Source organism: Homo sapiens, chromosome 2 (assembly GCF_000001405.40).
Source record: "Homo sapiens chromosome 2, GRCh38.p14 Primary Assembly".
In the NCBI taxonomy this organism is placed as follows: Eukaryota; Metazoa; Chordata; class Mammalia; order Primates; family Hominidae; genus Homo; species Homo sapiens.
In genome coordinates, this window is record NC_000002.12 from 232,864,282 (window position 1) to 232,889,638 (window position 25,357).

Consider the following 25,357-nt stretch of genomic DNA (forward strand, 5'->3'; position numbering starts at 1 on the left):
TGATTCATCCATTATAAAAGTCCTCTTGCTCTTACATGTAGCAGTTTTAACATTCCTTGATGACAATTGCCTAGATATATAATTAGTTGAAAATTTGTGATTTTTGGTGGGGAGGGTTACTTTTATTTTGAAATAATTTGACTTTAAGTTGCAAGAACAGTACAAAGGACTTGCACATAACCTTCACCCAAGTTCTTTAGTTAACATTGGACCATACCTGCTTTATTTTCTCTCAATAACTATAATCTCATGATAAGTTTTTTTTTAATGTAAACCATTTGTGACTAAGTTGCATACATCATGTCCCTTTTTCCTGAACCCTGGTGTGTTTCCTCAAAATGAGGACATGCTCCCATATACCACAATACAGTTATCAAAATTAGGAAATTAACAATACAATACTGTTAATAGCCAAGCTTCATTCATATTTCATCAATGGTTCCACTAATTATTTTTTTTTTAAACAAGGTCTCAATCTGTCACCCAAGCTGGAGTGCAGTGGCCTGATCATAGCTTATTGCAGCCTTGAACTCCTGGGCTCCAGCCATCCTCGCCTCAGCCTCTTGAGTAGTTGGGACTATGGGCACATGCCACCATACCCAACTAATTATTACTATTTTTGGTAGGGACAGAGTCTCACCATGTTGCCCAGGTTGGTCTCGAATTCCTGGCCTCAAGCAGTTCTCACACCTTGGCCTCCCAAAGTGTTGGGATTATAGGCATGAGCCACTGCACCCAGGCCACTAATATTTTTAATAAAAGCAAAAAGGCACCGGATGTCATTCATGATCACTTTTTGTGTTTAGTTGTCATGTTTTTGAGTCTCCTTTAATCTGGAACAGGTCCTCAGTCTGTCTTAATCTTTTGCACCTTAACATTTTTTTTAGAGTGGAGGGCAATTGTTTTTTAGAATGTCCTCCATTTGGATTTGTCTGATATTTTCTCATGATTTGCTTGTGATTATGCAATTTTGACAGGAATACTACAGAGTGATGTTATGTCCTTAGTTCATCACATCAGGAGACATATGAAGTCCATTTGAGCCATACTGGTGATGTTTACTTAGTTTAGGTGGTGTCTGCCAGATGTCTCTACTGTAAAGTAACGATGTTTGTCTTTATGGGAGACACTGTTGAAACTACATTTCTTCATCAAACTTTTATCCATTGATGATTCTTAATTGAACATTTACCAAGGTGCTTGCAAGCATTACTTTTACATTGATTAGTCAACCTTCTACTATAAGGAATACTTTTTTTTTTTTTTTTTTTGAGACAGAGTCTTGCTCTGTTGTCCAGGCTGGAGGAAATTTCAGCTCACTGCAGCCTCTGCTCTCAGGTTCAGGCGATTCAAAGATAGTGTTTTGCCATGTTGGCCAGGCTGGTCTTGAACCCCTGACTTCAAGTGATCCACCCACCTCAGCCTCCCAAAGTGCTGGGATTACAGGCATGAGCCACCGTGCCCGGCCAGGAAGAGCTTCTCATACACGCACACATGCATACCCTCTATATATTAGCCACAATCTGTTGGTATTTTTCATGCACAAATTGTCCATTTAGAACTGGCTTCTCTGTCCTTTTGCCATATTCCCATCATTCTTTGAGCACTTTTTCACTTTGGCACCAGAAATTCTAGGCCCATCATCTACTTTTCCTTTATCATATGTGGAATTAGTCATTTCTCCAAAGAGCACTGTCTCCTTTTAGTGGGGAATGGTATCTAAAAACCAAAACCTGGCCACTGGATGGGCTCATTGCTAGTGTGGTATCACTGCTTCTAGACTGTCCACAGTAAGGGTGTTTATGTATGTGTATAGGTACAGAAACGCTTGTGTATCTACACCTATCTGTGTATTCATGCTGAGATCTGCAATTCCAGTACAAATGCCATAGGATTCATTCTAATCTCTCCTTTTCATATTTGCAATTCCCTTAAGCAGGGAGAAACCTCACACTCCCTTACCTTCAGTGTTTTTGCTTTTGCTCATTAACACAAACTTTATTGGCTTTATCCCTGTTGTCTTACTGGCCCCACCTATATAAGTTCTCTGTGCCCAGGTCTTTGTCTTAAGGTCTGCCTTAGGGAAACCCAAACGCAGATAGCTCCCAGCAGTTTCCATTGTTAAATTCGTTTCGTAGGATATATTCACTTTGGCCAAGGACTACACCCTTCTTTTGGTAGCTGTGTAGCTGTGTATTGCTTGGCATGTTTTGTGGACCTGCACTCAATAACTACTTGCTGAATAACTGATAGGTTTTGAGAAAATTTTTAGTATTTACCAAGAATCTAAGTTTTTAGTAAGTTAAATTAGAGGAAATTCTATGGTATTTTTCACCACAGCTTATGAGATTAATTTTCTGTTTGCACGCCTATTAGGTTCAAGTTTGGGACACACATGCACAAAGGTCTGAACACCCTTTGAAAAAAAAAGTGAGTTTTGTTTTTGTTTTGATGTGGAGTCTTGTTCTGCCACCCAGGCTGGAGTGCAGTGGTGCGATCTCAGCTCACTGCAACCTCTGCCTCCCAGGTTCAAACAATTCTCCTGCCTCAGCCTCCTGAGTAACTGGGATTATAGGCACCCACCCCTATGCCTGGATAATTTTTATATTTTTAGTAGAGACTATTATAAAGACATTATAAAAATGTTTGTATGTTTAGTAGAGACAGGGTTTCACCATGTCTCTCACATTCAGTAGAGATGGGGTTTCATCATGTTGACCAGGCTGGTCTCGAACTCGTTACCTCAAGTGATCCTCCCATCTCGGCCTCCCAAAGTGTTGGGATTACAGGCGTGAGCCACAGTGCCCAGCCAAGCCTGAACACCCTTTGGAAAATTTAACCTAGGTACTAAAACTTGTGAAAATGAGCCATAAATTGGGTTTATTTCTAAAAAATAGCTTCACACTTCCTTGGTGTTTTTGTTGGGGAATCACCTGTCTGTCGAATGACTAGTACTACTGTGCACTTCCATAATCCTCAGTATTTCCTTATTTGCTAAATCCTAGGATATACCAAAGTGGTTACAGAATTGCTAACCCATACCAAGAGAGACAAGCTTTCTAAACTAGAGTTCTATATGTGTTAGCTCTAACTAGAGACAAGTTTTCCAAGTAGAGTTCTATACTTGCTTAAAGACACTCCAACATTATAAAAATACATATGTATAGTATTATTCATTGCAGCTATCTGTAATTTTAGACTTTTTGTCTGGTCTAAGTATTTTTTTCTACCTTTAGCATGGTTATAATAATCATTTGAAATACAATTCATTGTCTTGAAATTCTTAATTTTATCTTTGAAATTTGAGTTTTATAAGTAAAGTCTGATGGAATAGTGGAGCACGCAGCAGCAGCTTGCAGCCTTGGCTCACGCCTGCCTCGTCCTGCCTCCCCAGGGTGGGTTCTCAGCCCACTGCTGCCCCTGGGCAGCCTGCCTCCCTCCCTATCATCCATATGTCACTTGACTTCCATACACTTTCACTTTGGTAAACACAGTGACATTTTGAATATCCAAAGATGAGTGTCAGCAAAAAGCCAAAGTCTAGTGATCCCTGAAATACAAATGCATCTCCTTTCCGCCAGTGCCCAGCTATTCTGGTCCACGACTGCCTAAACCTTTGAGGAAGATTTGGAAGAAGATTCATTGTCTGTACTTGTGGCCATCTTGCAGGGTCCTTCCTTAAAGATAAATTGCCTCCCTCTCTATCAAGAGATTTTGGTTCTGGGAACCAAGTGAGAACCTTGATGCTCCATTATAGTAAATACAGATTTCTGCTCACCTGTTCATTTTTGTATATCAAGTAATACATTAGTAGACTGGCTGGCTGTTTTATTCCTAGGGATCAAAACATTCTGATGGGTCATTTCATCTTTTTTTTTTTTTTTTTTGAGATGCATCCTCCACCTCCCAAGCTCAAGCAATTCTTGTGCCTCAGCCTTCCAAGTAGCTGGGACTACAGGTGTGCACCACCATGCCTGGCTAATTTTCATATTTTTATTGGAGATGGGTTTTCGCCATGTTGGTCAGGCTGGTCTTGAACTCCTGACCTCAAGTGATCCGCCTGCCCCAGCCTCCCAAAGTGCTGGGATTACAGGCGGGAGCCACCGCACCTGGCCAGGTCATTTCATCTTCACCATCCATGGCAGGGTTGGCGTCCACCCGGCCTCTGCTGCCGCTTGGCCTCTGCTACTTTAGAATCACATTATTTCCTCTGAAATCAGTGATCCCATCATCAACTCTGGCCTACAAAAAACAGCCACAACCTATCTTTTTAAAGTTGCCGGTCTTCACTAATGCATCTCGCAGTGTCTTGGTGAATAGTGTGTACTATGGGACCTACTGAGAACTTAGTGTGGTCGCCAAAGATAAATCCACCCCAACATTCCTTTCTTACTAAGCCATTGGTATCCCCTTCTTCATTAAGTTAGGCTTCTCAATCTCATAGCATCCAGGCTTTTACTGAGCCTAGGTTTTGGTCAGCCAGCCAAACAGAGCTGCTCCTAGATGCTTAGGTTGAAACATTAAATTCAGACTTCACTAAGCACACCCCTGTCTAGAATGTGGCCGGATCTAATGTCATACTCACATCTTGCCTATTTAGTCTGACACCTTAGAATTCATTCCCACACCATGTTTCTATTAATATAAATTAGCAAAATTCGTATCTTACTAACTTGATACTAATTTATTGCTAGCATAAATTAACAGTAGTTTTTAGTTTGTGCTTATTTCCTCCTAAGTCAGACTTTGTGCTTGCTCTCCCTAGGAATGCTGATACCTGATTCTAGTTATGGATATGGAGGCAAGGAGAAGTTGTTAGGGTAGGTACAAGGTAATTTCATATAAATACGCATGCTAAAAAGAAATTTGAAGTGATGGGGGGATTGAGGGGCTGACTTATCAAGCTGAGGCTTGAATGGAAGGGGTGGCCACATAATCACCACAGGACTGCCTTCTGGGAGGAGAGGGGAACATGCAAAGGCCTGAGGCAGGATCTGGGGGTTTGTTGGGGGAGCCTAGTCACGGCCAGTGGACTGAAACATAGAGCTCGTGGGTGGGAAGCTGAGCAGGGCCGAGGCAAGCCCTTAGCGCGGTGGGAAACCATCAAGGTGTGAAGTAGGGGGCGCTGACAGAACTCTGAGGGCTCAGACGTGGGAAGTGAGGGAAAGAGACACCTTTGATGACTTCATTGTGTGGCTAGAACATCTGGGAGCGGGGAACTGGGATTCCACTGACTGAGTGAGGGAAGGGGCAGTAGAGTCAAGGTTTGCTTTGGACACTGTAAGTTGTAGCCGCTCGTGAGATACCCTGCGGGGCTGTTGAGAAGCAGTGGGCAGTGGGGCTAAGTTCTGAGCCAGGCCCAGCCTGGAAATGGATGTCATAAGTGCACAGGGGTCTAGGGAGGCAGAGAGCGAAAGAGGAAACAGGAGCGTTTTAGGAAAGACTAGAGCTGCCTGAGGGTTTGGATCAAAACTGCTTTAAAAGTCCTTCTTCAACAAGCACTGAGCACCTACTCCGGGCCAGGCATGGAGAACCCAGAGGTGAGCAGAGTCCGTCCTGCACTCAGTGCTGCCTGCTTCAGGCCAAATTTCCCCAAGCCCAGGCCACAGGCACTAACATGCAGATTCCCTGGGCTACCCAAGCCCCACTGAAACACAGTGGCCAGAGGCAGCAGCATGTTTCAAGTTCCCTGGGTGATTCTTTTGCACAAGAAAGCTTGAAAACCTTTCATTTTCAGTGGTCCAGGAGTAAATGTGGGAGGTGTGTGTGTGTTGCGGGGTGGAGAAAGAGAGAGAGCACAGGCAATTTCCTCTTTCCCTCTCCAAGAGCGGGGCTGCTCCCAGGTTCAGGAAAGCAGGTCTGTTCTGTGAGCTCTTGTGTGTGTGTGTTGGTGGGGGGAGCGGGGGGGTGGGGAGGTGCGGGCACGATGTCCCAGGAGGACAGAGTTTGCATTGATGAAAACCCTTCCCAGCCCTTTGATGCCTCTTTCTCACTGCCCTGAAGTTAACCAGCGCAGTCCTCCGTGCGTCCCGCCCGCCGCTGCCCTCACTCCCGGCCAGGATGGCATCCTGTCTGGCCCTGCGCATGGCGCTGCTGCTGGTCTCCGGGGTTCTGGCCCCTGCGGTGCTCACAGGTAAGAGGTGAAGGCCCTTGTCTCAGCCACCACTAGCCTCCCAGGGCCGATAACTACCTTGGGGCCAGATTCTTCAACGTTCACTGGGGAGGAAGCCCTCTCACAGGAGATGGGATGACTATTTGGGGTGATTCTGCGAAGAGCTCTTGTGAGGCCGGCTGGCAGCAGCTGTGTGGGATGGACGTCTCAGGAAATTGTTAGCAGGAGGGATAATGGCCTCTGGAGAAGGAGGACAACTTGGGGGGCAGGCCCAGGGATGTTTTGCTGTTGAGGGGGACATGGGTATTGCTCTAGCACTTTAAAATCTGAAGTCTCCCAGGTCTGGGAGGCAGCTGGGGCACCAGGCACAGGACAAGCAGCTGAGGGGCCAGAGGAGTGCAGAGCCTTGCTGATTACTTTGAAAAGCTTCCCTGCTGGTTTCTGCGACGTCCTTAGAGAATGAGGACCCAGGTACTGTCCCCATCTGGGAAAAGGCTCCAGAGAGGGAGAGAATACAAGGCCCAAGATCCCTCTGCAAAACGGTGTGGACCTCTGGACTGAGATCAGAGTGGCGGAGTCTGGGGTCCCACGAGAGGGAGGCCTCTGGCAGGCTCCCAAGGGCCCTGTGGAGAGGGGAAGACTGGCCCAGGCTGGCTTCAGAGCCTGAGAGACAAAGGGCGCAGACGGGTTACAGGTGGTCTTTGCTCCTTTTGGCCGGGAGTTGGACCAAAGGGCAGCTGGCTTCTGTGTCACAGTAGCGGGGTTCAGGGACCCTGCAGCCTGGGTCTTCTGGAGGGCGCCCGTGGATCTGTGAGAAAGGTGGACCGCAGTCATGAGAGCATGGCCTGGGGAGAGCTTCTGGGGGACGACAGGCCTGGGGAGGCCCCCTCGGCCACACCCTGGGAGGTCTGGGTGACAGCGAGGAGCACCGGAGACTATTGGCTTCTCCCTGGACGCCCAGGAAGAAGCTTGAGGCCAGGGTGTGCTCAGTCTTGACCGGGCGGTTTCTTAACCTCTCTGTGCCTTCTCGTCATCTGTAGGATGGTGACACAGCCACGCTCTGCCTCACTTGCAGGGGTCTGTGAGGCCTCGTGAGTTCAGACGTGCGGAGCTTTTGGGATGGGCCCCACATCCAGTTAGCGCGAATGTGGATTCTGTGGTCCGAGCCCCTCCCTGGCACAGGGTGGTCTCAACAGAACTCTACTTCCTCCCGCAAGCTGGGAGGGCGCCAGCCTCCCTTGTGGTGGAAGAGGCGCCAGCCTAGGCGAGCCATGCGGTGTTCCCAGGATGGGGGGAAGGGACTTAAAGGGGAAGGTGGCATCTTCCATGGCTTGGATCCTGGGGCTGTGATCTTTGCAGCCCCCTCACTGGGAAGAAGCTGCTTCTCCAGCCTGGTGGTCCGTGTGGGCCGAAGGGGAGGCCCTGGCTCCTGCCTGCTGGGCCTGGGCTGCCTGTGGCTCCTGCCCAGGTTCCTACTCCTGTGTGGCTGACCCTCCTGGCCCAGGCTGCCGGCCAGAGTTCCCAGGCCAGACTGTCCCTAATCATTGTAGGCGGGTGGGCTTCCTCTGCCACCACAGGATGCCTTGGGGACAGCCAGGACCTCACCTGGCCTCACTGCCCCACTTCCCTCCATGTGTCCTACCAAGAGTAGGCAGGCCCCCCGCAGGGGCCAGACCAGGCCTTCCCAACCCCGGAGTCTCTGGGGTTCTGGCTGTTGTTCTTGCGAGAGCGTTTGACCCCACCCCTGGGCTGGGAGCTCTGGACAGGTGTGTACACGGCCCTGGGCTCTGTGGGCTGGGGTCCTGTAGCAGACAGGAAGGGAAGGAGCGGCCTTGTGGGCTGAGGCCCAGGCCCCATCTGAGGCACAGGCCCTCCCTGTTGGGGGCCTGTGGCCTCAGCTACTGAGGTGGGAGCAGGCCGGGCTGAGCGGGCAGGAGGCCAGGGCAGGGATGAAAAGGCCCTTCATGGCCCACACAAAGGCTGTCTGTGAGCAGAGGCGCCTGGCCTCAGGGCCCTGTGGTCAGAACACACTTATTTACCAAAAGGCAGGGCGGCTGGGGCCAGTGGGGCTGGGAGAGAGCCCGTGGTGCCCAGGCTTGTGGCAGTGCCACCAGCCCCTGCTTCCCTGGGTCAGAGCGCGTAGCCACACCACATGGCTAATTCTGGTCAGTGGAGTCTGGGCCTCATTACCGCCATGGAACTTTCTTGGGGTCCTCCGTGCCCCCACCTCTTTGCCAACCTCACTTTCTGTCACCCTGGCCTATTCACTGTCCGCCTGGCACGCCGTGAGTTCCGTCCTCCACACCTTCGCTCCTGCCCCATCTCCCCCCTCCCCAGACAGGACTCCTGCTGGGAAACTGCTCTGCTCCCAGCTTCCCAGAAGGATGGATTTGGGGGAAGATGGGAATTGCCTCTCAGCTTTGCTTTCCCTTCTTACTGGAGTAAATTCTAGAAACATAGATGAGGATAAGAAGTGCCTCGGCCCCTCCCTGGCAGCGGCACCCCTTTTCCTGGTGGATCGGTGGCTGAGTGCAGGCTGTCATTCCGAGCCTATGTGTCTGCCACTTGGGCACCAGCCTAGGTTGGCAGGGAGCTGGTGGCTCCTGGGGCCCTGGCCGCTTGGGTGCAGATGGGTACTGGGCCAGCCTGTGAGGGATTCCTGTGGCAGCCAGCGGCTGCAGACCCATAGCAACTGGGCTTGTGTCCAAAGGCGCACCCCAGGCCAGACGCAGCAGCTGAAGATGCTGGTGTTCACACAGTTACCTCCTTGTGCAAGATGCTTGACAGCATAGTCTGAACCCCCGTCTTACAGGTCAGGAAGGTGGATTGGGGCATGGAGCAAGGATAGGCCCCAGCCCTCCTGATTAGAAAGCTTCATGGCCTGGCTGGACAGGAGGGGGCTGTGTACAGTGGGAGGAGGCCAGGGCAGGTATGTCTGGTGGTGGGCGCAGCAGAGACAGGCTGGGTCACGGGGGACAGATGGGGACAGGGCCTGAGTGGGGCTCCCCACTGCCCTGCTCAGAGGGTACCGTCAAGGGTGGCAGCTCACCCCTGCTGGGCTGGCCTGGGTACTGAGCCCTGCCTTCTCAGGGGCTGGAGGCCTGCCACTCCTCGGCTGATTCCCGCAGATGCCACCCGGCTCAGCTGGGCCTGGTACCCAGAAGCCCTGCCGCGGCCTCCAGATGCAGGGAGGTGCCTACCTGCCAGTCTGTCTTGGGTGTGTCATTTGTCCATTTCTTTGGACATGTTCAGGCAGTCAGTGAGCCTAGACCCTGGTGCCTGCCAGGCGGTGGGCGCACTCAGGCCTTTTACCTGCCCAGCCCCCAGAAGCCTGAGGCAGCACGCCAGGGGCCTGGGGCCTTCCATGGGGACTGCAAGGCTGCAGACCCCTGCCTTTCTGGCTGCGACATGGGAGGCCTGGCTGGGTCACTTCCCCTCCTCTCAGGGTGGTCTTCAAGGTTTGCGGGAGGCTAGAGAGACATCAGTGCTACAGTGCAGCCTTGGGCCCCTCGGGAGGGAAGCCTCCCCCAGTTGGGGGCCAATGGGCCTTCCACCCATGGGGCCTCCTGCCAGAGGTCTTTTCTGGAAAGGGGTTCTGCCTTGGGCCAGCCCTGGGGAATGTGGCAGGTCAGGTGAAAGGTCAGCAAGCTGTCTCAGAGCTGAGCCTTGCAACTGACCTCTCCAGGCTTGAGAGAGGCCCAGAAGCCAGGGACCTGCTAACATTTTATTGTGGAAAGATGTGAAGTTTACAGAAAAGTTGCACAAATACTCCAATGAACTCCAGGAGTCCATCCACCTAGTCTTGCCAACTGCCAACATTTTGCTACATTGCTGAATCCTCTATCTGAATGCTGAAATCATTTGAGAGTAAGTTGCAGAAGTCATGTTCCTTTGCCCCTAAATTCTTCCTAAGAACAAGGACATTCTCTTAACACACCAGAGTCAGCTATCAAAACCAGGAAGTGAGCACTGAGGCAGTCCTAAGCCACACCCTGTTCAAACTTCACCAACGGACCTGAGTCTCCGATCACAGGCCTGTCCCTCCCCGTCCAGGAACATTGAGCTGTCTCCTTAGTCTCTGATCTGGAACCTTTCGGCCTTTCTTTGTTTTTCCTAACTTTGACATTTGGGAAGGCCCATTTACTTTAAGACTGACCCTGAGTCTGGGTTGGCTGATGTTTCTGCGTGGTTTGCCCTAGATGGACACAACTGGCCAGAAAACCCTGGAAGGACCTCTGTGTCTTCTCGAGCATCCGCCTCTCTGGGTGCTGGTGAACCTATGAGGAGGGCAAGTGTCTGGCTTGACTCTTGCCCCAGCGCTCAGGGATGGAACCCGCAGGGACAAAAGGTGCCCTAGGGTCGCCGGCTGGCCGGCAGGGTCTGTTCACAGAACGGCAGCCTCCCTGCACTGTTTCTGGGCAGCACAACCGCTCCTGCAACTGTCCAAGGCCTTCAGCCCACCTGTGCTCACCACCACGGCACCTTATCCCCAAGCCTTGGCTTTCTTGTCTCTGAAATGGGGATAAAAGCAGTTCCCACACCACAGAGTAGCTGGAGTCAAAGAGATGAGGTGTTGGGACATCCCCAAGCTCATCCAGGGAACCGGCTTGAGGGTCGAGTGTCCCTGGATCACAGTCTCTATCCCAGTTGAGATTAGAGCATGGGGCCGGCCGCAGTGGCTCACACCTGTAATCGCAGCACTTTGGGAGGCCGACACGGGTGTATCACCTGAGGTCAGGAGTTCAAAATCAGCCTGGCCAACATGGCAAACCCCGTCTCAACTAAAAATACAAAAATTAGCTGGGTGTAGTGGCAGGTGCCTGTAGTCCCAGCTACTCCGCAGGCTGAGGCAGGAGAATCGCTTGCTTGAACCCGGGAGGCGGAGGCTGCAGTGAGCCGAGATTGTACCACTTCACTCCAGCCTGGGCACAGAGCAAGACTCTGTTTCAAAAAGAGAGAGAGAGAGATTAGGACATGGGCAGGCCTGCCCTGCTAACACTGTGATGTCAGATGGTCTGGCTGGGCTGGAGAGGCCAAGAGCCGACCTACCATCCCCATGTTGAGCTTTCCAGCGTTTCTGGGGCATCCTGTCTGGTTGCCGGGGATGGATGGCCCAGGGTTGGAGTGGTGGTCAGGGGAGGACAACTGGGGTGGGCTGGCTGGTGAGGATACAGGGCGGGGGTTATCATGCAGGCGTCTCAGCCTGTGCTTTCTGTGGGACTGAGAATGTCTCCTTTCTGCTCTCTGGTCCCTGGGTACCCCAAATCCTGCCAACTCCCAACCCTATAAGCAGAGAAGGGCTTTGTGGGGGGCACCTCCCTTACACTGAACAGACACTCCTCCTGCCCACCCACCGGCCCTGCCCAATGGGAGGCAGCAACGCACTGGCTTCAGCTTCTTAGCCTGGGAAATGTGAGGGCTAGTGCAGCGCTGAGCCCAGACCCCTCACACAGCGCTACCGGCAACTTGCTTAACCTAGAGGTGGGGGGTGACGTCCCTGTCGGCCCCGTCACCTGGGGCCCCAGCACCTCTCCTTGGCTTTGCAGACGATGTTCCACAGGAGCCCGTGCCCACGCTGTGGAACGAGCCGGCCGAGCTGCCGTCGGGAGAAGGCCCCGTGGAGAGCACCAGCCCCGGCCGGGAGCCCGTGGACACCGGTCCCCCAGCCCCCACCGTCGCGCCAGGACCCGAGGACAGCACCGCGCAGGAGCGGCTGGACCAGGGCGGCGGTACGGGCGGGGCGGGGGAGGGAGGGGAGAGGGAGAAATTAGGAGGGGCGGGGGGCGGGGGGCGCGGGGAGAAGGGCCGGCCAGGCGGGGGCTAGCAGGTGACATGGTCCTCCGTCCTCCGCAGGGTCGCTGGGGCCCGGCGCTATCGCGGCCATCGTGATCGCCGCCCTGCTGGCCACCTGCGTGGTGCTGGCGCTCGTGGTCGTCGCGCTGAGAAAGTTTTCTGCCTCCTGAAGCGAATAAAGGGGCCGCGCCCGGCCGCGGCGCGACTCGGCTGCACTCCTCACGCGCCTGTATGTCCGCGCGTGCGTGTCCGCGCATGCAGGTGTGCCAGAGCGTGAGCGCGCGCAGGCGAGCGCTCAGGGCGGGGGTGCGCGCGGGGCCGAGGGTGGGTGCCGTGCACGCGCGCGGGTCCGGAGGCGCGCCCGAATTCCCCGCAGGGGCGCCGGGGCGTGCGTGAGCGCACAGCATGTCCGAGCCCGCCTGCGTGTGGCGTGCACCTGAGCGCGCGCAGGGCCGCGCGGCTCGGCGTCCCCGTGCACCACGGCTGGAGTGCCTCAGGAGCGCGCCGCATGTGCGTGCCCGGTGCGCGTGCGCCGGGGCCGCCAGGGCATCGGAGCGGGTGTGCGGCCAGCGGTCTTAGCCCGTCCGGGGGCACCGTCACGGTCAGGGCCACGCCACGGGCGGCCCCTTCTCCCGGCGCCGCCTCCTCTGCCTGGGCGCGGGCCGAGGCCCTCGCCGCGCTCCCCGGGGCCTGCCTCCCATCCCGCTCCGCTGGGGTTCAGAGCGTTCCGTGAGGAGGTAAGCGCTAGGGCAGGAGAGGCCGACAGAGACCCCGGGGCCCGCCGCTCCTTGAGGCCGGGGTTGGGGAGGGCAGGGGCCGTCGGCTCTCCCAGCCAGAGGCCGCGTGGTTTTGGGGGACGTCTTGACTCTGAGTCCTGCAGCCAGGGCCCCATCCGCGGGCTCAGACCAGCAGCCCCAAGCCCCCCTCTGCCCAGGGAGCCTCAGGAGCAGGATGAGTCGAGAGTCGACGCCGGACACGGCCCGCCCCTGCTTCCTACTCTCACCCCCAGGCCTGGCTGGGGGCCGGCAGCCCCCACGCCCACGGTTGGTTTGTTCAGGGAGAGAAAACGGCTTTCCCAGCTCTACTCACCTCACTTCACCCTCAGAGAGTCGGGGCGGAGTGAGGGTGAGGAGCCTGGTCCAGGGTCCCCACCTCGGAAGCATTTAGAGATGTAAACTTTGATCCTTTGATCATTTAACCTGCTCAGCACAGCAGGAAGTGGGAACTTGGTCCCTACCCCAGTCCCCAGGGCCTTTGGAGGGAAGGGTTGGACAGTTTGGAGGCCAGCAGACCCCTTGGGGACAGCTTAATGTATCTGAAGATTCCTGAGTGGGAATGTTGCTGGAGGGCAAGCTGCTTCTCTTTTTTAAAAATTCATTTTCTCTAGCAGCTGTTTTGGCCCCTTTGGTGTCCCTGAGCTCCCCATGGCACTGTTTCCTGCCGTGACTTTCTCCTCCTGGACACTGGAGCCCAGGTGGTGCCCGCGCACCTCTCACACACTGGGGGATAGGGTCAAGGCCTCATCCAAGTCTGTTAACAGCTTCCCACTCAACCAGTCTCCCCAAAATACACTGTGAGTTCAATGATTCTGCTTATAAAGGAGTGCTATGAAACTGACCTATTTTCCTAATTGGTTAACTGACTTCATCTCACATAACCTTGAGTAACCAAAGCCTTCATCAGAGCGGACGATCCAACCCAACATGCTGTTTCCCATCCTCAAAAGGCACGGGGACCAATGGCCACCCAACTCCTTCCCAACCCTCCCCTCCAGGGACGAGAGATGGCCCCCTCTTTCCCTTTCCCCACTCTGCAAGCACTCCCCCACCAACGGGTGCATCACAGCCCCTCACTGGGACCAGGGGGCCTCCCTCTCCGGTGGAACCAGTGTCACATGCCTGTGCATCTCTGTGATTCTCAGAGGGTCTGAGGTCCGAGCACCCTGCTGTGGCCTGTGGGAAGACGCTACAAAGTCCCACTGGATCTAAACCAGAGGCCTGTTCTGGCGAGCAGGGAAACTGTGTCCTGGCAGAGATCGTGGTCCTGGGCACACAGGACCCCTCAGCACACTGAGGTGGAGCTGGGGCGAGGGGAGGGGGTGCGCTCTGGGTAACTGAAGGTGTGAAGGGCCCAGGGCCTGTTTCTGGGCAGTGCAGGAAGTCCCAGCCCCATGCCTGTGGTGAGATCCCCTGTAGGGCCCCCCCCACCATGGACACTTCGGGGCCTCTACGGTCTTCCAAAGCTGTGTCCTCATTTCCACTGCAGCAGAGGGGCGTCCCCAGCTCCGTCAAACAGCCCTTTCTGTTTCTGGAGTCCTACAAGTGGAGGCCCAAATCCGTTCCCATGTTGAGGCAAGGCCCTGGCTGTTCCTTCCTCTCTGGAAACCGCCTTGAACTCTTCCTTTGGGACATGCCTCCTCGACCAGCCTTGAAGGGGTGCTCCTCTCTCACTACCTGGAACCAAACACCCCCTTCCTTTGTGTACAAGGGCAATAAAGAGTAGACCTTCATCTTCTTTATTTTATATATGATGCTTCTTTTAATGCAGCCAAAAGTGATATTTGCTTTTCTCAGAACCATAATCGATACAAGATGCAGTGACCAATTCATTCCTTAAAACACCTGGGCTCCTTAAGGGGCTAGAAGACACAAGTTACATCCAGCCCATCAGGGAGCCAGAGGCGGGAGGGGTCCCCAGCCAAGCTCTGGCAGGCCTGCCATGGGGCAGGGCCTGACCGTGCAGCCAGAGGCTGGCAGAGGCCTGGGGAAGGGTGGGCAGAGGCAGCTGGGCTCTCAGTCCTGGAACCGGAGACCAAGGGCTGCTCATCAAGCTCCGTCAGGCAAGGGCGGCCTCATCTGTGCCTGGTAGATTCTAACTGCTTCCAAGGTAGAGGAGGACGCGTGCAGGAAATCGTGTCAATTGTCACCTTCTGCCTGCCTCCCACAGGGACACTCTGGGTTGGGAGCCTCTTCCAGTCCCTGGGGGCCAGGGGCATGGGGGGCCCTGGAGTGTGCCCACCCCCTTCCACCCCCTCGGAGGCATGAGGGAGGTGGTGTAATACTGCTGAAACCTTCTTGTTTACAAATGCATCAGGAGAGGCTTGGGCACCCTTTATCCAGTTTGCGAGCAAGGGGCCAAGACACATGAGCACTCACTGCGTGGGCAGGGATGAGGGCCGGGCACCCCAAGCCAGATCCTGCCACCTGGGGAGGTGCTGGCCTGTGCTTCCCAGAGCCCCCCCCCCCCCACCTTCTGTCGGGGTCTCATGCAGGCCCTGCTCCCGCTGGCCCCCTGGGTGGGGGTCATTGCCGATTCCGGCTGCCCAGCTTCCTGCGGTCCTTGTTCTGGCTGCGCTGAGGGTCATCCATCTTGTGGACACGGAAACATTCCTTGAGGTTCTGGGACCGGATCTTGGGATTCAAGATCTCCTCAGTCATGGAGCTGGGGAACCAGCCTCTCTCCTGGTCGTGCAGACGCTCGCCAAAGATCCACCCTGTGCAGGGAGGGGAGGGAGAGAAGGTCAGTGCTCCTGCAGGGCACAGGCTGCACAGAGGCTCCCTCCTGGCCAGGGCCCCCATCTGTGGCGGGACACTAGGGGTCCAGCTGGCCTTTCCCAAAAGGCAGCGGCTCTGCACACCTCTGCCGAGATGCTCAGACTGGAGTCACCCCCATAAGCTGGGAGGTGCATGAGCACCTGCACGGAACAAGGCCTGCTCCGTGCCACGCAGTTCCACGTTGACTTTGGAACCCACTCTGGGACCCTCAGCAATTCTATGCTGCCCTACACGAGCCCAGGAGACCCCAAGGGCCACTCCAAAAAGCTGGAGGCATTCAAGGGGCTGGTGGGGGTGGCAGCCGAGCACGTGGTTAGCTGGCGTGGACTGTGTCATTCAAGGGGCTGGTGGGGGTGGCAGCCGAGCATGTGGTTAGCTGGCCTGGACTGTGTCATTAGCCTCTTGCGGGGCCGATCCTCCCAGGCCTGGCCTCCTGAGGGCTGGTGTGGTCAGTGGAGAGGGTGCATCAGGAACTGGCAGCACGAGTAGTCTCAGCGTCAACTGGCTTCTCCCTGCGCTGTTTCTCCACCTCTCCCCTCCCCTAGAGATCACCAGGTCTTTGCTCAGAGTTTGTGGCCGATCTGTAGCATATCCCAACCTGGGAGCTAAGAGGCCTGGGGCATGCCCTCTGCAGGTCTCATTTGGGAGGGGAGCAGGCTAGTTATATTCCATGGGAAGAGGGCAGGAGAGCCCCTGGGCCTTTGGGAACAGCCCACAAGAGGGACTCCCTGGAGAAGGCCTCCCCTGGAGGTCACAGCCTGAGGCCTTCTACCAGGACCCGGCAGGAGGAGAGGAAGCAGGGAAGATGCAGTTGTATACTTTGGGGATTTGGATCAGGAGCAATTACTGTAGACACACAGATGTGATTTGAAAAGGGAAAGGGGGTCAGTGTTCAATTCTACAGGGGCTGGGAGGAACTTCGCTTGGTACTGATGACAGCAGCAGGGGTGGCCAGGAGCTGGGGGCGGCTTCTTGGCCCACATGGGGCACCGAGCCTGGCAGTCACAGGCTTTACCTGAAGCTGCAAGTACAGGTCTGGGTCAGGTCAGGCTTAGGATGTTCCTGGTTGTCCTCCCTCCCACTGTGATGGGGGTGCTGAGGCCAGGGCCAGGGGAGGGGGACACGAAGCCACCCGCTTGGGCTGGGCCCACTGCGAAGGAGGAAAGGTGGGGTCTCCCGGCTCTAGGGGAGGACAGGGAGGCACTGGAAACAATTCCTCCTTTACACTGAAGAGAGGCCAGTGAAGCCAGCATGGGCAGTGTCCAAGCAGAATGTCTCAGGGAGCAAGAGACATGGCAGGACACCAGCCTGTCAGACAGTGGTGGCATCTGCTTCTCCCCCTCCCCGTCATCCCTTGTGGGGCAAGTTCCCCTGGGGGCCCCGAGGGGAGGTCCCTGGGCCTCACCGTCGTCAGTCTTGTCCAGGATGTTGAGGATGTCGGCGAGCTCCAGCGTCAGCTCGTCTGGCTGCTGAGCCACGTATGGGTGCACGCACTGGACCTGGGGGCAGTCTGAGGGACAAGAGGCACGGGCACATCCCCACCACCGCACTACCCACCTGCACACTCCCACCAAGCCCGCAGCTGAGCCCTGCCTAGAATAGGAAAACTCCCACAGCAACTGGAGAAGGGCTCGTCTGAGGAAGAGGAGGATTTGTTTCCATAGAAAACGTTATTAACATAGCCAGGAGTTCTGGGAAGAAATACATGCATAAAGGCTGTGAGGGGGCCTTAGTTTAAACTTCAGAAGGAACTTTTTGTACCTGGGATATGGCCCTGGGTGTGGTTTGGGGTGGTCAGGACAGGGTTCACATGGTCAGGGTTAGCAGCTTCTCCATAAGGCAGCTGAACTTGTGTTTTCTTTTTGAGACAGAGTCTCCCTCTGTCACCAGGCTGGAGTGCAGTGCAATCTCAGCTCACTGCAACCTCCACATGCCAGGTTCAAGGAATTCTCATGCCTCAGCTTCCAAGTAGTTAGGATTACAGGCACGCACCACACCTGGCTATTCCGTATTTTTAGTAGAGACGGGGTTTTGCTATGTTGGCCAGGCTTGTCTCGAGCTCCTGACCTCAGGTGATCCACCCGCCTCGGCCTCCCAAAATTCTGAGATTACAGGCATGAGCCACTGCACCTGGCTTTTTTCTAGTTAAGCTTTTCGGACAACTGGCAAACCTAAAACAGCAGTGAAGTTTGGTCCAAATTCTTCCTGGTGACTTTGTGGTACCTGTCACTTAAGGCCCATCCAGCATTCACACAGTGTGGCCATGCCAGGTTATTGGCCGGTACTAAGTTTCCAGTAGGAAGCAGCCCCTGGAGGCCCGTGCAGGCCTCTGAGACCACCAGCTCAGGGAGGGCTTCCCTCCAGGCAGGGCACACCGTGCACCTGCGGCATCCGGCAGGGCCAGCCCAAGGACAAATGGCGCCCCCTTACCCACCGGTGACTTACCCAGCAGCCGGGATGTGAACGAAACAAACTTGGTCCTCCTGTTGGGGGCCAGTGAGGTCATCCAACGCTTCATCTCACTCCTGGCACAGGGAAGAGGACAGTGCCCCAACTGCAGATCAACGGCAGCCCCCCAACGTGTGGCACGAGGCTTCCCAGCTAGCTGCCCCTCGGATCTGCGTCCACCATCCTGAGCACCGCTCAAGCCCACCCCAGGGACAGCTCGGGGGAGCCACAGAAACGGGCTGGTCCAGGGTCTGACACATACAGGAACCCACGGAGGGGCATGGGGGAGCCCCTCTATGATGTTCCCCTGTGATGCTTTCAGAAGTCAGGCAGTGAGGGTGAGCCCACAGGGTAACAAGTCCCACCAAGTAACGCGTAAGAGCACATTCCGTGGCCACAGCCACGCCACCAAAGCCACAGTTTCTCATCCCGACAGGTCCTGCCCTGGTCCACGTCAGCTGCAGCCCCAGGTCTGGGCAGGGGAGGATATCTGGTGAGTTGTGGGTAAGGGGCAGCTTCGGGGCCACGACGGGAGGAGGGCAGAGCCTCAGCTCCGCAGGCCACGAGGGAGTTCCACTCCACGAGTGCACTGCAATCTCAGCTCACTGCAACCTCCACAGTTCCAGGCTCAAGGCCTGCAAAGCATCTCTCCCCACATTTAGCTTGCTTGTCCCTCGTGGGGGGCCTAGGGCTGCAGGGCAGGGGTCCCAGCTGCTCAGAGAGGTGAAGAGATGAGCTCAATGCCACACAGCAAGTGGCAGCAGGGAGCAGGAGGATGGTGGTTCCCTACTCAGCCTGACTCAAGGGTTCTCAAAGGGCTCATCCAAAAAGAGGGACTCGCCCAGAGTCTGAAGCCCCAAGGGAACACACACACACACACACACACACACACACGCACACACGCACACACGTACACGCGTACACGCATCCAGGAACCTGCAGCCACCCCCAGCGGCTCCATAGAAAGTATTGGCGCAGGGTCTGGACGGGAAGGATGGGCAGGTCGGCTCCACACAGAGCGTGTGTGGTGCCTTGTTCCACCTGGGGACAGGCCCATAGGCATCGAGGCCACACAGAAAGGTGCCACGGGTAGCACTGGGCGTGTGGCGGCGAGGCACTCACTGAGAGGACGCCTTTAGCATGTAGGTGGCCTCCCGGTCATCTGCGTTCTCCAGCAGCCGCAGGATGAACACGTTGGCCAGCGTCTGGCCCTGGTCCTCCAGCTCCTCCACACGCAGCAGTCCCCGCGGAGCTGAGTCAAATACCTGGTACTTGTCTCTGGAGATCAGGGAGAAGGGCAGGCGTGTCAGCCCCGAGGAGGCCTGTGGGGGTCCCAGGAGAGCCCCACTTGGCAGGCCAACAAGCCTGGCTCCACAGCGCTGGCTGATCTTCACCTCCTTCTGAAGCTTCCACCTGAACGCCTGTCTCCCGCACCCCAAAAGGGTGACCCATCCCAGGTGCGGACAGTGAACAGCACCACGGTCCTGCCAACCCTGACGACCCTACCGTGGCCTCCCTGCTGAGCACTCGCTATGTATCAGACACTGGGCTGGGCCCTTCACAGCCCTACGAGTAAAACCCCCACTTTACAGGAAGGGAAACTGAGGCTTAGGAACGTGAAATAACCTTGGCTAAAGGCCCAAAGCTGGGCCACAGCAGAACAGACCTTTAAACCTGACCGAAGAGCCCAAGCTCTGTCCCGACACCCCCAACCCCCAGGCCACAATCAAACCCAATGCCCAACACACTCCTCTACCCACCGGAGCGCCTGATGCCCTGGGCCCCGACTCACCCTGGAATCTGCCGGCAGATCACCAGCAGGTCGTTGAACAGGAAGAGGTAAATTTCGTGGAAGAGCTTCTTGGTCCTCAGGGTCCGGGAGGTCTTGGGGCCTGACATCTGCTGCAGCTCACCCTGCTTCAGCAGCCAGCGGGAGTGGGAGATGATGGGCACCGACTGCAGCGGGGAAAGGGCATCAGGCAGGCTGTGCCCACAATGTCCCTCCCCAGGACATGCCCCCAGGGCTGCGTCTGTCACATTCCCTGACACCTGCCCAGGGCCCCGACACATGAGGCACAAGTTGGGGGGAAAGGCCGAGTTCTGGACGGATGCAGAGAGATGGCAGGGCTGTGTGTGTGTGTGTGAACATGCACCCCTGTGGGCATGAGTGTGCTATGCGTGTGTGTGCTGTGCATGTGGACTTCTATGTGTATGGACTGTGTTGTGTACCCACATGTGAGCTTAAAGTTATGTGCACGTGCTTGTGTGCATGTACACTGCTGTTTACATGTGTGCACTGCTGTGTGGATACCGTGTGTGTGCCTGTGAGTGTGGCAGCTAGTGTCTGTCATCATTGCCCCCACCAAGCTCTGCCTGTGGGATGCAGAATCAGAGAAGGGGCTGAGTTCACAGTAGAGAGGAAAGAATGGGACCCGCGGGGCAAGGAGGCCAGGCCTGCAGCTGAACGGCCGCCTGGCAGACGATGCAACTCAGGGGCAGGCGCCTGGCAGCCATCGGTCAGCACCGTGTGGAGCTACATGGGACGCCCAGAAGACCGCCTCTGCCTCCTCTAGTGGGGCTCAGCTCCCAAACCAAGCCTGGCCTCAGGGACCGTCTGTGGGCACAGCGTGCTGATGTGGCCAAGTTCCCAGAAAGTCGGGCCCAGGGGACCTGAGGGTTCACGAATGCCTGAAGTTTTCTGTGAAGTTTGGGGGAAGCTGGTAACTTCCAAATCCTCCTGGTTTGAGAATCCCTGGAGCAGCACCCCCCACATCCTCCATGTAAACTGACTGCTCAAGGCCACGCAGCGGGCAGGTGAGAGCAGGGTCCACACCCTGCGTGGGTCTGGGCCGCACACTAGCCCCGCACTCCCGTCTCCCAGGAGACAGATCCGGACCACCGTGGTGGTGTCTGACGCCTGGTGGCAGGCGGGGTGGCTTCAGCTGGGGAGGTCAGGGGGCAGAGGGGATCCTAAGTGTGGCCAGTGACCAAGGACCTAAGCAAGGCCAGCCAGGCGCGGTGATCTGTGCCTCTGGGGCGGGGCCAGGGGCCTGTGCATGGGCACAGGCTCACACCAATCCCACCGGTTCACCTTGATCTTGAACTCCATCTTCTTCTGAATGCTGATCATCTGTTCCGTGCGGCTCATTTTCCTGACGCCCTCGTTGCATGCCTTCACCACCTGGGACAAGAAGGAGGGCACATCAGGCCACCAAAGCCGGCTGTCCCGGCCCCTTCCTCCAGCTCGGTCAGGCCACAGACAGGGCTGAGTGACCACCGTGACCAGACACTGTGCCCACAGCTGAGGCTGGCTGGCCAGTCTCAGTCGGACTGGAGCTCCTCTTTCTAGCACCTTGTGGGGCAAAGGCAAGTGGGAAAACCTGTTAGTTTGGGTGGAGAAAGTTGGTGCCTTGCCCTTGCTAGGAAGCAAACTCCAGAAAACACATGCGTGAGGCATCCCTCCTCCTCTGTAGGCTGGACGGACCGGCAGGGCTCCGGGCTGTTCTCCCCACAGCCCCCTGGGTGGCCACCCAGGCACCAAGGGACCTAAAAATCCCACGCTTCCTGGGGCTCCCGAGGACTCGTTCTGAAGGAAGACAATTCTGCAGTGACACATGGGGCCCGGCACAGGGCCAGGCTCGCCGCAGGCTCTCAGGGCACATAAATGAGCACCATGTCCAGGGAAGTGTGCGCGAGGGCCTCCCTGCCATGTTGTCTGGAGTGAGAAACACGCTCGCCAGCCTCAACAGCCATCAGTGGATTCGATTAAAATAGTTATGATCTATGCAGATACGCAAGAACAGAAATCCAGGAAAGAGGCAGGGACTCCACCTGCACTCGAATGCGGGGCAAAGCTGTTTCTAAACCACAAGCCCTTTTTGTAAAGAATACAGTGGTGTGTGTGCTGTGTGTGCCATGTGTGCATGTGTGTGCTGTGTATATGCAGTGTGTGCTGTGTATGCATGTGCGGTGTGTACTGTGTGTGATATGTATGTGCCATGTGTGCTGTGTGTGCTATGCATACTGTGTGTGATAAGTATGTGCTGTGTGTGTGTGCAGTGTGTATTGTGTGATATGTAGGGGCCGTGTATGTGTGTGTGCGTGCTGTGTGTACTGTGTGTGGTATGTGCTGTGTGTGTGTGCAGTGTGTACTGTGTGATGAGGGGCCATGTGTGTGCGGTGTGTATTGTGTGTGATATGTATGGGCGTGTATGTGCTGTGCGTGTGCCGTGTGTGCAGTGTGTGCCCTGCGAGTGTGCTGTGCACAGGTGTGTGTGCACAGGCGTCTGTTTAGGGCGAGCTGCAGCCTGTCGGCAGGGAGGGCGAGGTGGCTAGTGAAGTTTATTTTCTTTTTACTTACAAGCATTTTCTGAGTTTCCTGGTATTGAGTATAATTACTTTCATAAATCAGAGAAAAAATAAACCTTCATTTTTAAAAAAAAAAGCTATTAGAAACAGAGAATACCTTTCATTATAAGAAAAATGAAGATGAAAGCAGAAAAGAACTTTAAAAACAGAAAACATACCCCTGGCCCAGGGCTGACCTCAGGGAGAGCCTTCTGGGGCACGTGGGCCCCTCACGGGCCATGGTGGCCCCGTGTGGCTGCTGTCTGGTGGTGGCTGGAATGAACTCACATCCAATCAGGTAAAAGGGAAGCTCTGCTTCCAGAGGTGGGCATGGGCCCCTAGAGATGCTGCCTGGCTCACAGGTCGCGGATGCCCCCTGGCTACCCTGCTTGAGGCTCCAGCCTTTCCTCACTAGGCACAGCGTGTAACTGCCAGAGGAATTTTGGTGGCCAACTGGTCTGGGAAAGGGACAGGAGGAGTGGCCCGAGGTGGGAACCGACTGCAATAGGGTAGGAAGTCCTCATGTCTCAATGTGGCTGAGAATGACCATCAGATGCCCACTGAGAGTGATATTCTTTTTACTAAGCTTCTGCCATGGGGTGACAAAGAAGTGGAATATGGACATCCCCCGCCTTGCTCTCCACCATGACGGCGTCACTGGCTCAATGGAGGTGCCCTAGCACAGCTGTCAAAAGCTGGCTCTCAGCTCCAGCTGATGCCAGGAGCCAAACGTGGCAGAGCGCATGGTAAGAGCTCCTGAGGACTGAAACATACTCGCTGGCCCTTCCCGCAAAACCCCTGCTCTGCTGCAAACCTCTAGGAGGAGCCGTCTCTCTCTGAGGGTCAGGAGATGGTCTGGAGAGATGGTCCTTGCACTCTTGGGCAGCAAAGGCCCAGGGCTCTTGGGCAGGGCCAGTGAATCCCCTCACAGAGATGCACAGGGGTGACTGAGCTCCGGGGACTGGGAGAGTGGCGTGGAGGGCTGGGTTCGGAGCAAAGGGCTTCATCAGGGCACAGGGAAAGTGGGAACCAGCCTCGGTGAGCCTCACAGGAGGGAGGAGAGACTGTTTCTGACATGGAAAAACAGGCAAAGACAAGCCTGGGGTCTGTGTGGGCCCCAGATGCCTGCAAAGAACAATCCCAGGGAGCTGATGAGAGGAATCAGGGCCTGTGCATGATCGCAGAGCTCCACACTGGTGAAGAATGTCCTGAGAGCCACGCTGCTGTCCCCACATCCATGCCAGGCACAGTAACAAGACAGGCGGTGAGTACGTAAGGCTGGAGCCAGGAAGCAGGGTAAAGAAGGCTCTCTACCCAAGCCATGCCTGGTGTATTTTTTTAAGCCCCAGTGACTCTTTTGATTGCAAAAGTGAATTTTAAAATAAATTTGCATATTCTAAAAAGACACACGGACATGTGGGGAGCAGGGCCGGAAAGGTGTGCCTGGATGAGGAAAACAGTGCATTGGGATACAGCACAAGAGGAGGTGAGACTCACCATTTCCAGCTCCTTGTGAGCATCCAAAGCAGTGCACTCCCGCTCAGACCTCTCTTCTACCCTCTTCAGGATGTTCTATGCACAGAGAAAGGCTGCGTTAACTTTAATCTTTTCTGGTCTTTCCTCCCATTTCCCACCTTGACCGTGACTACCTCCCTACTGCACCAGTCCAGCCCCATGCTGCAGCATGCACACACACACACACGCACGCACGCACACGCATACATGCATGCACACATGCATACAGACCTGCGTGTGCACACACGTGCATACATGCTCGCACACACATGCACACCATGCACATGATGCACACCTGCAAGCAGTGTGCACACATGCACACCGTGTAGAAACATGCATACAAGCACACGTGCACACATGCATGCACACACGTGCATACATGCTCACACATGCACAACACGATGCATGCACACTTGCAAGCACAGTGCACACACATGTACACACGTGTACAAACATGCATACAAGCATGTGTGCGCACACATACATGCATGCACATACATGCATACCTGCACACACACACGCATGCACGCACACACATACACACAGCCTCCATCTGACAAATGGAGAGCAAGAGAGCCCGCAGGTGTGGCACCCAGCAGTGAGGACTGTCACGCTTAGGGTCAGCTCTGTCCCCAAGGGGAGCTAAATGCTTACGGGACAGGGGTAGGGGGACCAAGGGCTTCCCTCTCCTCCCTGGGACTGTCATTTGGCCCCGAAACTTTGTTAACTTTGGTCTTCTCCATGAAAGTGTAAGAAAGAGTCTCTTCTCCAACTGTTCAATTTTCTTCAGTTAACAAAAAATTATGCCCATACTGCTTTCACCTGTAAATTACGATTTTGACATTGCTCTATAAACTCCACATGGTTTCCTCTTAGCGGTCCCCACCATGCCCACGTTTTCTGACTGGCTTTTGTCCTGTAAGTAGGCTGGGTGCATCTGGGCACCAACCACCTGTCCTCCCGGCTGCTGGGTGCCACGGCAGCACAGATGTCTCCCCTGACAGCAGCCCAGGCCTCTCCTGTGGTCACCTGCCCGCCTCTGCCTGGCAGCCAAGCCAGAGACCTTCGAGACCCACAGCCACCTTCCTGCTTTTTCCATCCTGTATGTGGCCACCATGCCTGTCATTAACTGTCCCCCTACTTCCAAATCCCTGCTGAACAGCACGGTTTAGACGCCATCTTTTCTCACAGGCATAAAAGCTGCATCTGACCAGGTGGCATTGGTGGCCTCAGATGGAGGGCAGTATGGGTTCCTTAGCCTGGCACGTGCTCTCCCACGCCAGCCTCCACTCGGTGTGTCCCCAGCATGCTGCCTGATGTGGAGACTTGCCGTTCTCTCTGGAATGGTCCCTGACCCGCCACCCCTTTCTCTGAGCCCTTCCCTGAGTGCCCACCCCAGCTGTCCCCATTCCACCATTTCCTAATCACTGCATTTCCATTGCTTTTAATCTTACTGTTGGTTTTCATCTTATAGAAGCTAAGGTTTTAATATATTCATATATGCACTTTCCCTATAAAATGTCCTAAAATATTTTTCACTGCATAATTAGGAAATGTTACTGTCTTCTGTTTCACTTTTTCCAAGTTA

At 55.2% G+C, this 25,357-nt stretch overlaps 2 protein-coding genes across 15 annotated transcripts in view, besides 2 other annotated features; one reads left to right on the forward strand and one right to left on the reverse strand.

Annotated features, from left to right (window-relative positions):
* Positions 1-2,169: 2,169 nt before the first annotated feature.
* Positions 2,170-14,419, forward strand: SNORC (secondary ossification center associated regulator of chondrocyte maturation). 9 transcript variants are annotated; one of them, NM_001394207.1, is made up of 5 exons: positions 2,170-2,430; positions 4,766-4,820; positions 6,004-6,133; positions 11,659-11,841; positions 11,966-14,419. In NM_001394207.1, the coding sequence occupies exons 3-5, from the start codon at positions 6,061-6,063 to the stop codon at positions 12,073-12,075; spliced, it is 366 nt and encodes a 121-aa protein (NP_001381136.1). In that variant the 5' UTR covers positions 2,170-2,430; positions 4,766-4,820; positions 6,004-6,060; the 3' UTR covers positions 12,076-14,419. The 9 variants fall into 9 exon arrangements, 7 of the variants coding, with proteins under 7 accessions (NP_001381136.1, XP_016859572.1, NP_001333051.1 ...); XM_017004083.3 differs by lacking the exon at positions 2,170-2,430 and having other exon boundaries at positions 4,733-4,820; positions 5,972-6,133; NM_001346122.2 differs by lacking the exon at positions 2,170-2,430 and having other exon boundaries at positions 4,733-4,820.
* Positions 7,913-8,678: an enhancer, noted in NCBI's record as "H3K4me1 hESC enhancer chr2:233736904-233737669 (GRCh37/hg19 assembly coordinates)". NCBI's record gives its function as "activates a minimal SCP1, AML or CMV promoter by ChIP-STARR-seq in naive H9 embryonic stem cells {active_cell/tissue: H9 hESC(naive)}" and the evidence as "EXISTENCE:reporter gene assay evidence [ECO:0000049][PMID:30033119]".
* Positions 12,208-12,277: a silencer, noted in NCBI's record as "silent region_12464". NCBI's record gives its function as "represses an Ori minimal core promoter by ATAC-STARR-seq in GM12878 lymphoblastoid cells {active_cell/tissue: GM12878}" and the evidence as "EXISTENCE:reporter gene assay evidence [ECO:0000049][PMID:35858748]".
* NGEF (neuronal guanine nucleotide exchange factor) overlaps positions 14,420-25,357 on the reverse strand; it is a 134,556-nt gene continuing 123,618 nt past the window's right edge. For all 6 annotated transcript variants that reach the window (NM_019850.3, XM_011510923.4, XM_047443880.1 and 3 more), the window contains 7 exons: positions 23,752-23,826; positions 20,999-21,088; positions 19,700-19,863; positions 19,030-19,185; positions 17,905-17,984; positions 16,865-16,969; positions 14,420-15,398 (listed from right to left, as the gene is read on the reverse strand). In NM_019850.3, coding sequence (NP_062824.2) covers positions 15,208-15,398; positions 16,865-16,969; positions 17,905-17,984; positions 19,030-19,185; positions 19,700-19,863; positions 20,999-21,088; positions 23,752-23,826 — 861 coding nt within the window. In that variant the 3' untranslated portion in view covers positions 14,420-15,207. The remainder of the gene's footprint in view (positions 15,399-16,864; positions 16,970-17,904; positions 17,985-19,029; positions 19,186-19,699; positions 19,864-20,998; positions 21,089-23,751; positions 23,827-25,357) is intronic.

Coding starts and splice junctions, on each gene's coding strand:
- SNORC (NM_001394207.1), top strand. CDS start 6,061: ATGGCATCCTGTCTGGCCCTGCGCATGGCGCTGCTGCTGGTCTCCGGG. Junction 6,134..11,658: donor GGCCCCTGCGGTGCTCACAG/GTAAGAGGTGAA, acceptor TTGGCTTTGCAG/ACGATGTTCCACAGGAGCCC. Junction 11,842..11,965: donor GCGGCTGGACCAGGGCGGCG/GTACGGGCGGGG, acceptor CGTCCTCCGCAG/GGTCGCTGGGGCCCGGCGCT.